The sequence below is a fragment of the Homo sapiens genome, chromosome 12 (assembly GCF_000001405.40).
Source record: "Homo sapiens chromosome 12, GRCh38.p14 Primary Assembly".
NCBI lineage: Eukaryota > Metazoa > Chordata > Mammalia > Primates > Hominidae > Homo > Homo sapiens.
In genome coordinates, this window is record NC_000012.12 from 88,558,446 (window position 1) to 88,576,294 (window position 17,849).

Here is a 17,849-nt window from a genome sequence, read left to right on the forward strand (position 1 = left end):
GTTCACAATCTTGATCGTTTTCTCTGTCACATCAGATGACAAGCTTGATTGGCAAAGGTCACAAACTGGCTTTGCGAATTATGCAATGTGTGTGAGACATACCAACTGCCTTTTTAGTGGGATGGAATAAACTGTTAAAATGTTCCTTCTTTCACTGAAGGTGTTCCAACTGAAACCAAGGGAGTCAGCTGTGTTATGTTTAGATGAAAGTGTAATCATCTGGGGTGTTTAATTAAAATACAGATTCCTGCATGTCAGAGGGAATCCAAATTTCTGAGGGTGCATCTCAGGAAAGCACATCTTTTAGTAAGCCCTCTATGTGATTATTAGGTACTCTATAAAGTCTGAGATATAATATTTTAGATAGTTCATGAGTGTTATATTGTTAAAGAAAACAAACAAAACAAAAATGTCTTAAAAGATATACAACGTTGTATTTGATTGAAGGGCTACATACTAGGTGCTCTTGATTTAGAGTAACTTGAGGGGGGTGAGGGATAAAAGATGACAAATTGGGTACAGTGTATACTACTTGGGTGATGGGTGCACCAAAATCTCACAAATCACCACTAAAGAACTTACTCATGTAACCAAACACCCCCTGTTCCCCAATAACCTATGGAAATTAAAAACAAAAAAGATAAGAAAAGTTAAGTGTATTGAGTGCACAGAATACTGTTGATTGTCTCTTTCAATTGCCATTCCAATATTCTCCTAGCATATCCCTCTAAACTATCATGGCTGGAAAGCTAAAAACTCCATTTATCAGACGCCCTTTAAGTTATCCAGGGTTGTAGATGGGACTTCGGTTCTGCCAATTAGGCGTGACTGCAAGATCTGATATGGGAAGGAAATACTCGAGAAGACAGGCTGGCTGTGGGCATGCATTTTATTGGCTTAGTTGGTACTGCGGGCAGCAAGACCCTCCAGTCAGCAGCAGTAACAGCTTTCTGCACTGGCCGCAACATATTTACAGACTGTAGTGGACTTAAGTTCTGAGTGCTGGGAGTGTTCTGGAAGCTCAGCTTGCAGTCTGCTCCTACGGCCCTTCCAAAAATTCCACAGGCCATCAAATGCACTTCAATATACTCTTTGAAGTATATCCCAGGTTTCAATCAGGCAGAGTAGACTATATTGTCCAAAATTAAATCCTAAGCAAAACAAGGGGAAAAAGCCCAGTAATTAAGCATTTATTTCTCCTAAGGGTGGTCAAAATTTTCCTTAGAAATTTCCCATTAGTGTTTCACAATTCAAGTTGAAAAATAAGGATTATTTTAAATTTTAAAAAAGACCAATTTTTTATAGGCAATCCATGAGAGTTTAATACAATTCTACCAGCTGAAACACAGCAAAGCATTTACAGTTGGCATGCCTGGGACAAGTTCCTCTGGTAACAATAAACTTCAATTGCAGATTCATTGACATGCCTGAGACACATTTCTCTGGTAACAATACTCTACAACTGCAGGTTCAATGACATGCCCAGGACTTGTTCTTCTGATAACAATATATGTCAATTGCAGGCTCACTGTTTATGAAGATGATGACATTTAAAACAGAGAACGTTATCAAAGTAAGATATGGATTCAAATCCTGGTGCTGTCACGTGTTGTAATCCAGAGCAAATTATGTAACCTCTCTGAGACTCAGTTTTCTTGTGATGATAACATGTTTTTGCAGTTTTGAAAAGATTACATAAGACAATGTTATGTAAAGCACTCACAAGCCAATTGGCAGATCTATGAGAACATTACATGACTATTAATGCTCTAATTATTATTTTGTTAATTACAGTTAATAGTTAACTATAGCTAGTTCAGTTAGCTACAGTTAAACCACAGTTGATGCTACAGTTATAATTTTATCTTTATTGATCCCTTAAATATTCTAAAAGCTTTGCTAACAGTAAATGACTATACAATCATTCACAATACAACCCATTTTTTAAAAAATGTGTTTTCTTTTTAATTGCACATAATAATTGTAAACAATCTCATTTATCCTCTGCCTCCCCATAGATTAAAGATCAGCCCTGGAAAGTGAAATAAAGAGGTTGTGAAACTGCCCCCTGAGCTTGGATTTGGATCCGCTCTTCCAAGCAGGCAGGCTCTTTTCTACCTAGTATAAAAGTGAGGCAAAAATTGTTTGGGCAACAGGTGAATGTTAACCTAAATAGCAAAGTTTCAAAAGTCAACTTCAGCTTCACTAATATATCCAAAACAGCTTTAGAAAACAGTGTGTTGGCTGGGCGCTGTGGCTCACGCCTGTAATCCCAGCACTTTGGGAGGCTGAGGCGGGCGGATCACAAGGTCAGGAGTTCGAGACCAGCCTGGCCAACACAGTGAAACCCCGTCTCTACTAAAAATAAAAAAATTAGCCGGGCATGGTGGCATGCGCCTGTAGTCCCAGCTACCTGGGGGGCTGAGGCAGGAGAATCGCTTGAACCTGGGAGGCGGAGGTTGCGGTGAGCCGAGATCGCACCACTGCACTCAAGCCTGGGTAACAAAGCGAGACTCTGTCTCAAAAAAAAAAAAAAAAAAAAAAAAAAGAAAGAAAGAAAGAAAACAGTGTGTTTACTCATGCACAGAGAAGTGGTATAGAGGAGGGGGTTGGAAAACATCAACCTTAGAATCAGACTGCCCATATCTTAATTTCTACTTTGACACAATCCTTATGGCCGTTGGAAAGTTATTTTATCATTCTGGGCCTCAGTTTCCTCATCTGTAAATGGGTGTAATAACAGAACTGACTTTATAGGTTTGCTGAGGATTAAATATAGTTATGTAAGTGGGCATTTAGTATAGTACCTGTCAAATAATACACCTTTATAAATGTTTGCTATGGCTATTGTCATTGCTGTCTAGAACAAGCATTCCTAGTAACATCATGCCCAAACTTGAAGAATGGTGGTTTAAGCCAAAAATCTGGGCACTATCCTTGATTCTTCCCAGTCCCCTATTTCCACATCTGATCATATTTTCTACCAGCAAAATAAATCTCAAAACTCATTTCTCTCCATTTCATCTTGTACAACTTTAGCTTGTGCTAAGCTCTTAGCACACTCTTACTGGAAGATTACAGGGATCCTCTAAATAGCCTTCTTTGCTTTCAGACTTATTACTCACAATAGTATCTTCTTCTGGGAATATATAAAACATGATCACTACCTGCTTAAAATCTCCCAATGCCTTCCCATTACATTTACAGTAAGACTCCAACTCCTAATCAAGGCCTACAGAGACCTTCGGAAGACAGACTTGTCCAACTCCATGTTTACGCCTTAGTAACCTTTATCTTCCCACCATGCTCTAGCCACACTGGCCTCCTTTATGTTCCTGAAATACCTGGAAGGTAATTCCTGCCTCAAGCCCTTTGTACTTGCTGCTGCCAGTTTTCTCCTTTTTGGGCTTTGCCAATGGCAAGTTGTTCTCATCATTCAGGACTCAGTTCAAATATCACCTTCTCAGAGAAGCCTTCCCAGGTAACCTGTCTTAAGGAGCACCTCTTATCACATCACATCACATCACAGTTTTGCTTTCCCTTAAGCACTTTTCATTCTCAGAAATTATTTTGATTACCCAATTAGTTTACTCTTATCATCTGTTCCTCCCAACAAGAATATACATGGTATAAGAATGAGGATTATATTATTCTTATCCGTCATTCTTACCTCTAGCACCTTGATTTGGTCCTTTCTCATAGTACATAATCCTCCATATTTGTGGATTGTATGTATTGCTAACTGCTACTGAATTGCTCATAAAAGTTCTCCTTCAATAAAATTCTCTTTTATATGGTACAGACCAAGGTACTGGCACTATCTAAATTGTGTTACTAGAGAATAAACCCAGGTACATATAATGGGGCAGAGATGAAGGCTGGACAATGTACAATTCAATCCTCAGCAGCTGGTTTCCATATTTACACAATAGAATTGCAACATCGCCAACCAGTTTTGCTTATTATCTGTTTCTTACACTTGACTGTGAGCACCATAAGGTGCCATATGGACTTTCAGTCCCTCCCTGTTTTGTCAGACTGACTAAGGCAATGGCAGGTGTGAAGAAGCCCCTCGTAAATATATTTAGAATGAATGAGTGAAGGATAAACAGGAGGGTTTTGTTCATCAGTTGGGTATAAACCATTGTCATCCTTCTCACTCTTAGGCTCAATAACTTCTAAATTCAAATAGTGACGATTAGCTAAATGCTTCTCAGTTTGAACTTTTAACCATTTTCTTTGTACCTTTAATACTTCCCTAGGTCCATGTAAGTGGAAAACTAGGCTATAAAACCATGAGTAGACTACAAGCTCCAAGAAGGGCAGGGACAACGTAAATAGACAATTTTAATGAATGAACAATCATTGAAAAATGCTTCTCCTGGTAGATGTGGCCCAAAATTGAAGGGCTGACCTGGCTATAAAATCCCCAGAGCTCCCTTTCTGAAGAAACTACGTAAGTATAAAGTGGAGTTTCTTTCCTTTATTGACAAAAAGGGGCATATTAAAAAAGCGAAAACACTGAAAGTATCACACAGAGCTGAAATGTAGACACTGTCCTGCAGTAAGTTCACTGGAAGTCTCTGAGAAGTCAACAATTCCATATACTGCTTTATTTAGAATTTATTGTAATACGCAACCATAAATTTTTTATTTCCCCAATGAGTTGCAATCCATTAACATTTCTAAAGTAGCCATTCATAAAAATTATTCATGGTGATTCAGCATTCAAAATGCATGCAAAGAATAAGATTTCACTCAGGGAAGACATACCCAGAAGTGATGACATGGGTTAAGCTTTTAAATGCTAATCTTATCTCTTCCCAAAGCATTGGTTGACTCTTATCTATCTGTCATCTTTTCTAAAGCAGGCAAAACAATGTTCATAAAACTGAATCCCTTTCCAGACTCATTCCTACTTTGACCAAAACAAAACCAGCTACCTTTTCTTCAGGGACACACTGGCATAGTGTTGATGTTCCCCTATCATGCAACTTGTTTGCAAGAAACAGAAAGTCGCATGCCAGACTACTCATGAGCTGATTCAATGACACTTCATCCCTCCCCCAAAATAGGCTGCATCATCACATTTTCATGCTAATAATCATGACTAAGTGGCAAGCTCTTTTATTCCAATTGTTTATCGTGAGATCCATGGAATTATCCTTAGCATTCTCTCTAATACCATTTTGATGTAGGAGGAGACTCTAAATTCATTAAGAAAGGAAGATGTGGCCGGGCGCAGTGGCTCACACCTGTAATCCCAGCAATTTGGGAGACCAAGGTGGGCGGATCACCTAAGGTCAGGAGTTCGAGACCAGCCTGGCCAACATGGGGAAACCCCACCTCTACTAAAAATACAAAAAATTAGCTGGGCATGGTGGTGGGCACCTGTAATCCCAGCTACTAGGGAGGCTGAGGCAGGAGAATTGCTTGAACCCGGGAGGCAGAGGTTACAGTAAGCCAAGATTGCACCATTGCACTCCAGCAGGGGCAACAAGAGCAAAACTCCATCTCAAAAAAAAAGAAAAGAAAAAAGGATGTAGGACACAGTAAGGAAGGAGATGATTTTTTACAATGTATCAGGATAGGAGTACTGGCATCACACTTGTTATTGTTATCTCTATTTTAGAAGATTCTGACTTAACAGTTTTCTCGGTAAATGTAAGTTATTGTGCATTCTGAAATTCATCCTCATGGTAGACTTGGGAAGATTATTTTGCTTTCAAGTTTAAAACAAAAGAAGAATATAGGAAATGTACCTTAAGGCCTCAAGTCTTGACTCTTAATAATGCTGGGAAAATACAGAAAGAAACTTTCTTCTTGGAGCAGAAAAGGGGGAGAGTGGGTAACCATTTCAAGGTAATCCTTTGAGCTTCTTTTCAAAGCAGCTGCTTTGCTGAGGAATCAGAAGGGGATGGAAGAACAAATGTAAACAGGGAAACTGGATAGCAAAGAGATTTTCTCACCATATGGGAGAGAATAGGGATCTACTTCCTCAGGAAATGAAGAGAGGGACTCGTGAGCAATATATTCACTAAATGAAATTTAAGATGTACTTCGGCTGCTGTATGTTTTAAGTGCCAAATCTGCACAAACCATTTTGTACATCTACTTCATTGCTCACCATTTGTGTGTTATCTCCTCTTCTTTATGGTCCTTTTTGGAGCTTTTCTTTGCAAATCAAGGCAGAAGGTAGACTTTGTGATATAATTATATAAAACTGGAAACATTTTATTGGTTCAAGAAATGTTAACTTTTCAGATCTACACCCAAAACCAAGAAGCTTACCTGATTAAAAAAAAAAGGAACACAGATCATGCTCTAAGTTTGTATCATTTTAAACACTTCAGAATTTTTTAAACTTGGCATCAAAGAGTATCCCCAAAATGATATATGTTTTTAAAAGTACATGCAATATCTGTAACATTATTTTAGAGCACTGTATTGTAAAGCAGTAGTATTACTGCCTTGAGTCACTAAGATGATGGCTTCTAACCACACATGAAATTTGAAAACATCACTTCTTGTTAATCCTTCTCCAACTTTCTTCCTCCACGCTTAATCTCTGATCTTATGTATTGAGACATTATTTTTGCTGAACTCCTTAACCATATCTGTTTTAAATACATAAATATCATTCTAATAGAATCATCTAAACCCTCTCATATTGTCATATTTCTGTCTTTCAACTCCTTTTAGACAAAGACTATACATCTCAGTATCCAAAACTACACAACATCCTTTACTTGAGTATTGCACTAGCTACCTATTAACTAGCACAAATTGTTAACAGAATTTTAAAGGAAGCATCTTGAGTGTGGGTGAGCTGGGAAGGAAGAATCCATTTACCATATTTGTAATAGTCTCATGAATTATTATGTATCAAAAAAAATCTCGGCTGGGCACGGTGGCTCAGGCCTGTAATCCCAGCACTCTGGGAGGTTGAGGCAGGCAGATCACGAGATCAAGAGATCGAGACCATCCTGGCCAACATGGTGAAACCACATCTCTACTAAAAATACAAAAATTAGCCGGGAGTGGTGGCACGTGCCTGTAATCCCAGCTACTCAGGAGGCTGAGGCAGGAGAATCACTTAAACCTGGGAGGCGGAAGTTGCAGTGAGCTGAGATTGCACCACTGCACTCCAGCCTGGTGACAGAGCGAGACTCCATTTAAACAAACAAAGAAACAAACAAACAAAATCTCTAGGTGAGAAAATAAAATGTCAACAGTACTAATACTAAGCAAGAAATTAGGAACAAACAGATCAGGTTTGATGACTGAGAGTTGTAAGATGCTGAGAAATTTGCTCAACCTCTGTGAGCTCAGATTCCTCCTCTTGTATCAAATGGAATAATCACACTACCACCACCCTCACAGGTGGGGAGAATCAGGAGACATAAAGTATGTAACACATTTAGCTCAGGACCTGGCACAGAGAATAAGCATCGGAAATCAACATTTTTCCTCTTCATCATCATCAACAATATTCTGCCCTAAAATCCTTTCTGGTTCTTAAGTCTTCATATATCTGGCATTAGCGAGTTTTAACTGGCCCTTGTCATTCAGCCTATTGTGTCATTTCCTTAAGAATGGCAAGCAATGGCCTCACCTTCTCCTTTATTTATTTATTTATTTTTAATTTACTGTCTCCATTCTCTTCTACCACCCAAAGTGGCTCATTTATCATTTCTCTCTCTGAGGAAAATTCTGTTTGAACAATGTATGTATGTTTATACAGGACAGTGTTACATGCAGTTTCATGTGTCTGCTGAGGTCAGCAGGCACAAAATTGTCAAATGTCTGGATCCATTCTTAGAATGCTGACAGGTGGATGTTGTCCCTCAAAGAGACATTTGGCATTAAATTCATAGTTTAGTTCAGAAAACCTTTATCAATATTTTGGCACTGTGCCACTAGCTAGGGATACCAGTGTTAGACAACTTAGCTAGGTAAGTAAAAAAATAACTTCAATATAATGTGATAAGTGATATGATTGTTTTTTTAAATGCTACAGGAGCTCAGGGTAAGATCACTAAACAACATAGTAGGGAGAGGGGCTGAGGAAAAAGAGCAAACAAAAGTCAGGGAGGACTTCCTGGAGTAGAGACCATCAAAGCTACCCAAATGCGAGGCCCTCAGGGCCTTGGAAACCAAGTGCAGCAATATTGGTATGTCATTGTACATAGTTAGGTGACGCTGGAATGAAACTTACCACTCGGGAGTGGTGGAGATAAGCAACAGCCAAACCACAGAGGACCTTGTATAGTGTGCTGAGGGTTTGGACTTTATCCTGAGGGTAATGTAAAGTCGGTAGAGGATTTTAGCCAGGGTAATGACACAGTCAGACTTCTGTTAATAACTCTAGATTGTGTGCATTAGAAAGAACCTTTAAAATTATAGGATCTACCCCTACATTTTGATGGACAATAAAATGGACATCCTGAAAGCTGCATAGCAATACAGTACCACATACATGAATTTAGGACATGGATCTCCTGCGCTGTCAGTAAGTTCTTGTTCTGACTTTCCTGTATTACTCCTCAAATGCTAGGACACAAATCTTCAGGGAAAAGTGCAAAAGGAATTCCTTTTTAAATCTAATTCTGTTCCTAAGCAATTCACAAAAATTACACATGTCAGTGTTTCTACTACATTCTCCTTTAGGCCTTAAAAGCAGGGACTTTAATATATATATATTTGTTTTTCTTTTTCAATATCTAAAAGAGATTTCTGCATTTTAATATTGGTTCAAAGTGTTGTGTTAGATCCCACTCTGAACTGAACCCAAAATTACTTCCCACATTTTCCGGCTTGGTAAATTAATCACTGTGGTATCCACAATCAAAGATTCAATCAAGAAACTTCCAGAAAACCTTTGGAAACAAACTTTGTATTACAAAAGAGTTATAAAACAGGAGCTGTTTTCTCTCTTTCACAAGTGTTTTGAACAAATCAGCACTCCATCAAAAAGAACATAACAGTTTAATGTTCTGTCAAAGAATGGAATGCTTGTTTACCTGAAGTAATGGACTGATAAAAGTAACTTGCATCTGTCTTGATTGATACAAAACTTACTCAAAGATGAATCTGGACAACCAAGCCCTTAAACTAAACAGAGTCACTGACAAGAAAATAAAACCTGAATTCATAATGGAAACATTTCCAAACTGTTGATTCTATAAAGTTATTAAATTCAACACATGCAAAAAAAATAAAAACAACAAACGAACAACCTTTGAATGCAAAACTGCATTTTATTTGAAAGGAGCTAACATTTACCGAGGTTTTCTGGTACCTGTCCTAATGCCCTTCTTATGCATTAGCTCATTTAATCCTCACAGTCACCTTAGGACTTAGACACTATTATAAACCTCATTTTACAAGTGAGAAAATCAGAATGTTATCCGAAGAATCAAGTGACTCAAAGTCATACAGTTTGAAGAGATGATTCCAGATTTATGAGTCTCCAAAGCTATTCATGATCATACTATACAAAAACTAATTTGAGGCTCATTTTAGAAGACATTAATAAACTAAAGTTTTCATGTACTTGGAAAATTTATATTTTTTATTGCTCAAGTCTGAGAACAATACAACAACACTAGGCCTCTGAATGGACAGTATAGTATGTAGAGCACTGCTCAGTTAATTAACTCTCTTGACTTTCACAACTTGTGAGGTCGCCAACATGTGTCAACATCCTTACAGACACAGAGCAGACAGTCTAATACATACTGATGTGTCTGCTGGCATAATCCATTCCCTAAAGCTTACAGATACAATTTATTGAGCATCACTTCTGGGTCAGACAATTTCCACATATTATCTCATTTATTTATTTATTTATTTATTTATTTATTTATTTATTTATTTTATTTATAATATTTTTGTAGAGACAAGGTCTCACTATGTTGCCCAGGCTGTTCTCAAACTCCTGGGCTCAAGCAATCCTCCTGCCTCTGTCTTCCAAAGTGTTTGGATTGCAGACATAAACCACCATGCCCAGACTATAATCTCATTTAATTCTTGTGTTCTTCCAACTATGTACTATTACCCCTACAACCCCATTACACCAATGAGGATATTGGGGCCTAGAGGAAGGAAATAAATATCATGTTGTAATCATAATAGTGGAGCTAAGATTTAACTCTCATTCTGTCTAACTCCAAACCCCATGCTTCTTCCAGTCTACACAAGGCCAATGAGCCAAACACTTTGAGAAATATAATTTACTTCTTAAAATTAGAGCAGGAAACCGTGTTAATTCTGAAAAACATTGTTTTCTAATAGTACAATTATTTGAGTGATTGTGAATCGTGATTACAAATTAGGTATATAACATTATTTCCAGGTTTTTAAAAAAAAGAAGGGAAAGAACAAGGAAAGAAGGGAGAGAAAAAAGAGTGAGGAAACAAGAGAAGGAAGCTGCAAAGTATTATTCTTCCATTTTACAGAAGTTTAAGAGAAGGTTAAGGAAAGATAAATAAATTGCCTAAGGTCCCATGTCAAGCTAGAGTCAAGAGCCAGAGGTAAAATCTATATGCTTTTGACACAAAAGCCATGTTCTTTCCATTTTCTTTTGACAAGTGGCTATATTTCTATGGATGCTGAAAATGACTTCACTCATATAGGGAAAAGTAGGCAATCACTCACTGATTCAAAATGGGAATGACTCATGTTCTGTCCCCCTAATTCCAGGTAAAGCAAAGAGCTTGGGAATGCGAGCTCTGAATCCGAATCTGTTTCATAAGCCAGCCACCACATATTGGTGCCGCGATCTTGGGCACATGATAGAAAGAAGTAACTTTGCTCTAGGTAAACTCTTTTGTGATTCTAATTATACACATTTTTCTTTTTCAGTTTTTGTTTTAAAAAAAGAATAAAAACAACTACATTACTCAGGACAAAAGTGAATTTGAGGCTGGAGTTACTTGGATAAATTGCTTCAACTTTCCCTTTCACTCTGGTAGTGGAGATTTTGCAGTTAAAGTCACTTTCTTTAAGAAAGGAGCCATCACTATTGATAAGCATTACATTACCATTTGTTTAATGGTAATAGCAAGAGTAAATGTTTATTTAGTATTTTCTTGGTGTCCAGCACTGGACTAAGTGCTTTTTTGTGGATTATTTCATTTTATCCTTATAACTACCTATGATAAATGTACCATTGCTCATTCTGTTTGGCAGATGGGGAAATTGAGGCTAAGAGGTTTTCGTTCTTAGGCAACCAAAGCAGACCATCTGACTGCAGAGTTTGGTTAAGCACATCTCTGTTCTGTTGTCTCCTTTACCTGTGTTGAGATGATGCCAGGACTTTTTAGCCAACATTTTCATTTGTACTAAACTGCTATTGAGTATGTTACAAGGTGATGCTGCTGATAAGGTTGTGCTGACAATCACCCATTTAAAATCTTGCGATATTAATGCAGAAAATATTTTTTTTAATATTAATGCAGTTGGATTGATAAGAAATGAACAAAACAAAGGCCACAATATAAATGGCTGGTAGCTTTAAAAGCCAGACATAAACGACATTATTATCAAATAATTTCCTAATATGATCACAGACATTTAAAACCATCTTCCAAAACATCATGTAAAGAGGATCAGAGCAAATTGATAAAAGTACTTTCTGAAGTATCTTTCTATTTCCAAGAAGTTATTTTGAAACATAACTTTAAAATATTTTAAAATCTGCCCTCTGCCAACAAAGTACCACTTTATTTGAAAGACAGAAAGCTTTTTGGCAATGAAGTAATTCCTGATTCCATAAAGTAAGACGACATCTTTAGAGTTTACAATGAGATTCCCTCACAACAGTCAGATGAGTCAGGCAAGGGGTTTCCATTTGACTGCTGGGGAGATGGGTGGGAAAGCCTGATGAGGAAACCCAGGCTCCCTGACCTGTGGGAGTGTTGCTCACATACAGCCATTTACACTTCTGGTAAGTACTGAGGAGTGTGGGGTCAGAAGCAACTCATCACTCAACCAGAGGACTCAGCTTTGCCTGCTCTCAGTCTTTCTGGTGTAAAGTTAAATTGCATCTTCTTCTCCACAAATAAATTAGAAAAAACAACAACAACAACAAAAAAAAAACAAAGAAGTTCAACCCTTTCAGTTTGTATGTGTATGCATGCGTGTCTATATTGGTGCATTATATTGTAGTGATTAGAAGGAATCTGGCCTTTAGATTTAAATAGGCTTGGCTTCAAATACAAACTCTTCCACTTGCACTTTTTAAATTCTCATTTTGGGCAAGTTTTCTTAATCTCTCTGAACTTCAGGGTTTTTATTTTTCTTTGTTAAAAAAAATGATGCCAAATAATAATATGTATTTTACAACATTTTGCTACAATCGAATGAGATACACTTGTGCAGTTTGTGGCATGGTGTTTCACCCATGGGGAGTAATTCACAGTTATTAACTTATTAATTTGTCTTATATTTCCTTATTCAGTAAGCTGCTCTTACTTCTTAAACAGCTTGTCTTTGGCCTACTTTGTTATTTCTTTTCAACAGAAAGGGGAGAAAAGTAAAGAAGATAAAATTGGGAAAATTTTCTAAAAATTTGCTAAGGGTGTTTATGAGTGTCAAATAAGATAGATAACGTATAAATAAGAGAGTTAAGCTATTAGTCTCTAAGGATTGGTTTTAATTTTTTTATTTATGAAAGCCCTATAGCCAAAGCCAGGAATTACTAACACTGAAGTTATTTCTTACAGCATACAGATTTGTATAATGTTCTGTGTGATTTACTATTCTTTTAGAGAAGGAAACAATGCTCTATTAAGTAAGTGCCAGTTGCTGTGATGTTAGACAGTCTATCTCTTTTAATTATCACATCAATACTACTACTAGGTGGTTACTTCTGTGCCCATTTTAAATATTGAGAAAGTGAAGTTCAAAGAGAAAAACTTACTGGGGTTGGTAAGTGGCAGAACCAATACTACATTTGATCTATATCCATTCAAACCTTTGCTATTCTCTCACATTGTCTCCAGTTTCACTAAGTAAATGATGTTATGCATTCACTGAAAATTAATGCTGTAAAATAGTAAACAAAGTAGCCTTGCCAGTCATGCACCAAACACATTTGTGTGTATAACAGACCTAGCACAATTGTTAAAATTTTGCCATTAGAAAAAAGGCTTATAAAAAATGTATCAGTATCTAACAACCTGAATTAGGTCTCCATTCATTTCACAACATTCCAAGTGTATTTACTGAGCAGTTGGCAGGAGCCACTCTTTGAGGCAACTGCAATCATGAAATTTTTGTTGTCCAAATTCTATTACTGGCAGCTTTTTTGAACATCTGAGTTGCATTTGTTTTTGATTCAATGTTCATGTAAACAGAATGCATATCTTTGAGGTATTAAATAAGCCACACTAATGCGCTGTGGTTAATGCCAGCTGAGTCTCTTTTGCAATAAACACCTGGGATTGGCAGGAGAAAGACCTTGTCTTAGTTTTCCTATCTGTGAAATGGGGTTTAAAAAAATAATAACTACCTCTCAGCGGAAAAGTGCTGTGAATTAATTAATCTTGGAACTGTTTTCTACTAAGTGCCATTTTGGCATGATCTATTATCAGGATGGTTTGATTTTATAATATAATGATAGAAGCTATTTAAAATGGCTACACATTTAAATGCCAAACACTTGACACATAGTACAGTAAATTTCATCTCTTCAAGTTGAATCATTATGTGTGACATTTGTACAGAAGTGCAAACAATAAATGGTCAAATCAGTCTTGGATTTAAAAGTCTCATTATTGAAAAATATAAATAAATAAATGCAAACGGCTTAGAACAGGTCCTGACATTGTGAGCATTATATAAGGATTTGCTAGTATTATTAGAAGCTACTTATAATTTTAAATTAAAATTAGCTACAGTCATATGTGTATCTATATATGAAATAAATCAAGCAAGCCTAATAAATGCCTAAATACATTTTTTTCTTAAAGACCCTAGTTTCATATTTTAAAAAAAGGTACATTATTTTTAAAGTATTATTAAAGCATAGAGTACTGTGGCTTCAGTACATTACAAACAGGAAGTAAAGTTTTAAAAACACTTTTCTGGGCAGGGGCTAAGAATAAATATAAATATGTACATTATATATATATTATATACATTATTATATATATATATATATATATATAATTTGTTACAAAGATATTGGAAGAATTATGTAAGCCCTATTTTGTAGTTCAGTGCTTTTCTACATACAATTAATGTCATCCAAATAGTAAAAACATTATGCTAATAATTTCCTCTGAATTTTTCATGAATGTTGCCTAATCCCTTTATTATCCCCTCATTTTGTTTAGTTCCCACTTTGGACCACCTGGAAGTAGAAAGCACCAGCCATTCTCCTATACTGTGATAATGTATCTTTCAAACAGCAGAATGACAAATGTGCTAAGGTCAGTCCTCTGACTAACAGAGCACATCAAAGATTTATGAGTAGGGCCCACGGAATACAGCAGTTTTCTAAAGTTGCGAGAAATCCAAACTAAAGCAATCACAGAGCTTTTGGTTGTTCATCAAAAAAGGAAATCCCTAATGTGTTTACTATTTCAGAAGCGTTAAATTGTACATTTACACAGAACCATAAATAATGATGTATGACTGCTGAGGTCTGTGTTGCAATCCTTGGGTTTTCTAGATCACATTAGAAACAATTTTATATGAAAACATCTCTACCCTCCCTTCTTACCACTCCTCCATCTAGAGTTCTGCAGTGAACATGAATTTTAACAGCCAGTACATCGATATGGATAACACATCCAGGAGGGTGACAAGGCCTTTATAACAAAGCACACTTTCTCTGTCACACTCTTCTTGGAAGCCAAAGAATCTGTGTGTTTTCCCAAGGCAGTTGTTTGGGAAGGCACTGAGAAAGGAACTCCAAGTAAACAGTAGAAAACTCAGCACTGTAGGGCCCTAAGAGGTTCCTTCACAATAGACCACCATTATTCAGTTGTATTCCTTAGAGGCAACCTGGTTCACTGCCACTCAAATACTCACATTTAGGTGAAACAAGCCAATAATGAGATGCAATTCAGCCCTGGAGCAGAGTGAAGACATTGAAAGGGAAAGGTCCTCAGCTTTAGGGATTTTATGTCAAGGTGAAAAAGAGGGAAAAGTTCTAAGCACTCACAGGGCTTATGTTCAGCAGATGAACTTCTGCTCCTGAAAAGGCAACACAGTATGGGCATACAAGACAAACACAACGCCCCCCTCCAACCTGTGCTCTTTCTTCCCAGGTTTGCACAGGGATGCAATTATGCAGTGGGGATGCCCTTTCTGCAAAGGTGAACAAGGCTTGCTTTTTCAAGTGAGCACCGATGAGTTTGCGGTGGTCCTTTCATGTCCTTTTACATGGTCACCCTAAAGAGCAAAGGCATTCTTTGTGAGCAACAGACAAAGTTTGAGCTGCTGTCTGTGTACCTGGAACACAGAAAAGGCTACCTTATTGCCCCGCTCCCTCCCAATTTACCCATGTTCTAATCAGCAGCATTCAAGAGCCCCAGGGCAACAGCTACAGGCACAAAGTCAAGTGCTGAATTTCTGCATCCAAATATCCCAATAATAGCCATTGCTACTTTTTTTTTTTTTTAAATTTTCTAGACTATTGCCTCAATTCTAAACTTTGTTTTAGTGGATAGCTCAGTGGGCAATGCCAGTGATTAGAGAAGAACATTATCTTCATGGTTGTGGCCCTGTTTTCTGAGAAATGTGTGTTCTCCTAGCTTGAGGAGGGTCCAGCTGATCTTGGAATATTCTCATGTCAACAAGAAAAGACTGCCATAGCTTCTGACTGCTAAAAGAAAAAAAAAAAAAGAAAAAAAGAAAAGGGCTACGGCTAGCTGCTGGGTTTGCTCCAGCTCTCAGCTAAGGAAAGGAGGTAAGCAAGCACTGTTCCAAGGATGGTACTGGACCCAGACAAAAGCCAGCCAAGGAGAGATTTGGCATAGTATCATCTGCAGGAACTGCCTTTCCCTGAGGCTCCCTCCTCTTTCCACCTCCGTGTCTCCAGCTGCAGCCTCTCATCTTCACTATCTTCTCAGGATTAACTATCTTGGGCATGATTCAGAGATACTAAGACTGGGAGACTAGTCCAAGGTCACACATCTTGAGGCAGAGCAAAGGGTAGGATCAGTTCCTCTGATTCTCCCCTCAGTGCTCTTTCTACTACATCATCAGATCCCTTCTTGGTTTTCTTTCTCCATTTCAACTCCATGCACACACGTACTGGAAGTTAAAGGGACAGAAAAAAAACAGGCAAATACAGGGAAGCATTACCTTTTGTAAGCTTATCTCCTCTGGTTAGCTGACTTTATCTTAGAATTCTTTTTCATAGAACTTAAAAATTTAGAACAGAGAAAGTAAAGATCCTCTTTAACTATGGATTTTGCTAAAACAGGAAAGTGTAAATACCATTCTTTTTACAAAGAAATATCAAGCAGTAGGTGAAATGCATAAAAGTAGAACAGTCTAAATTTAAATCTCCTTCATTTCTCCCCATTGGCTTATTCATAATCATAAAACAATGGTTATAATGTGCATTCACACTGAAGCAATGGCTGCATAAATCTGAGAACTGAAGGAAGCTTAAATACCATCTGGTTCAAATATCTATTTTACTAGTACTTTAGAAATAGAGAATTTTAGAACCAGAAGGCACTTAGAAATCACCTAGTCTCACTTACTCATTTTACAGTTGAGCAAACTAAGATCTGGAGTTCAAATAATTTCCCAAATTACTACTACTTATTATCCAGGTTAATAAAAGAAATCAGCCTCCTAATATCCAAGCCAAAGTGGCAGCCTACAAAAATAGTAAAATGTAGCCAAAGGACAAAGACAGGTACATAAAGAACAGTCTTCCTTTAGATGACACACATTATGATTTTAAAGAAAGAACCATGAGCCCCAACTATGAGAAAATCACTCCCCCACCTCTTTTTTCTATAGAGAAAGAAATAGGTAGAGATGAGATCATGACAATTCTCTTAAACTCCCAGCCCCTGTAAACAGTTTTTAGTATACCCATAATTAAGTGAAAAGGCAAACACATCTTGCTGCATCTATAAATCAGAAAGGCTGCAGTCAATTGTTTCTATGAAACAGAGCCTATACAAAACAACCCTGAAAGCAGCATATATTATAAAAATATCTTGGTGTTCCCTCAACTTGTTTTGTAAATTGTTCTGTCTACACACGTGACTAAGACCAAGAACAGTGTGTAAGACCAAGAACAGTTTCTTGCAGCTGCTCATGATTTATGTGCTAGAAAGAAAGATAAAAGATCACTCTTCAGAGATTTATATCCAAATGCCTTGCCCTAATTTACAAAAGGGAATAAAATTTACAAAAGGGAATAAAAATAATTTACAAAAGGGAACATTAAGATAATCCAGAAAAGAAAAATAAAAGTCTCAAACTAGCATAATGAAAAAAAAATGTCACTGCACGTTGCCTGGTAAAGACAACAAAGACACCCCACAGAAATGAATGCATGGCCTCACTCAGAAAAGCAAGTGCGAGAACATTAGGGATGGGAAACTAACCAAGTCTCTTTAGTCCAAAATAAAATAAAATAAAATGAAATAATTCCTTAGAATCATACAAGGAGAACTTAGCAAGAGTGTAGAAATATGAAACTGAGTCAGCGATAAAGATAATATTTCCATTTTCCATTTCTATTTTCTATTCTAATTATCTCATTCATTTGTACTTTAAAAGAAAAACCTTCAAAAACGTAGCACCTCTTAAGCCCACATATCACCTTTGTCTTCACATATTCCTGGATTGATGTGTCTTAATTATAG

General features: G+C 37.1%; 1 protein-coding gene and 1 long non-coding RNA gene across 3 annotated transcripts in view, besides 1 other annotated feature; both read right to left on the reverse strand.

The window, feature by feature from the left end:
- The window catches only part of KITLG (KIT ligand), an 87,679-nt gene that overhangs the window by 65,653 nt on the left and 4,177 nt on the right, over positions 1 to 17,849 (reverse strand). The gene's annotated exons all lie outside the window — the stretch shown is intronic.
- Positions 872 to 6,947, reverse strand: LOC124902979 (uncharacterized). Its single transcript, XR_007063398.1, has 2 exons — positions 5,763 to 6,947; positions 872 to 1,151 (listed from the first exon to the last, which is right to left on the reverse strand). It is a non-coding gene; the product is annotated as an uncharacterized LOC124902979 (long non-coding RNA).
- Positions 939 to 2,138: an enhancer, noted in NCBI's record as "P300/CBP strongly-dependent group 1 enhancer chr12:88953161-88954360 (GRCh37/hg19 assembly coordinates)". NCBI's record gives its function as "activates an origin of replication core promoter dependent on BRD2, BRD4, P300/CBP, MED14 and CDK7 cofactors, with strong dependence on P300/CBP, by STARR-seq in HCT116 cells {active_cell/tissue: HCT116}" and the evidence as "EXISTENCE:reporter gene assay evidence [ECO:0000049][PMID:35650434]".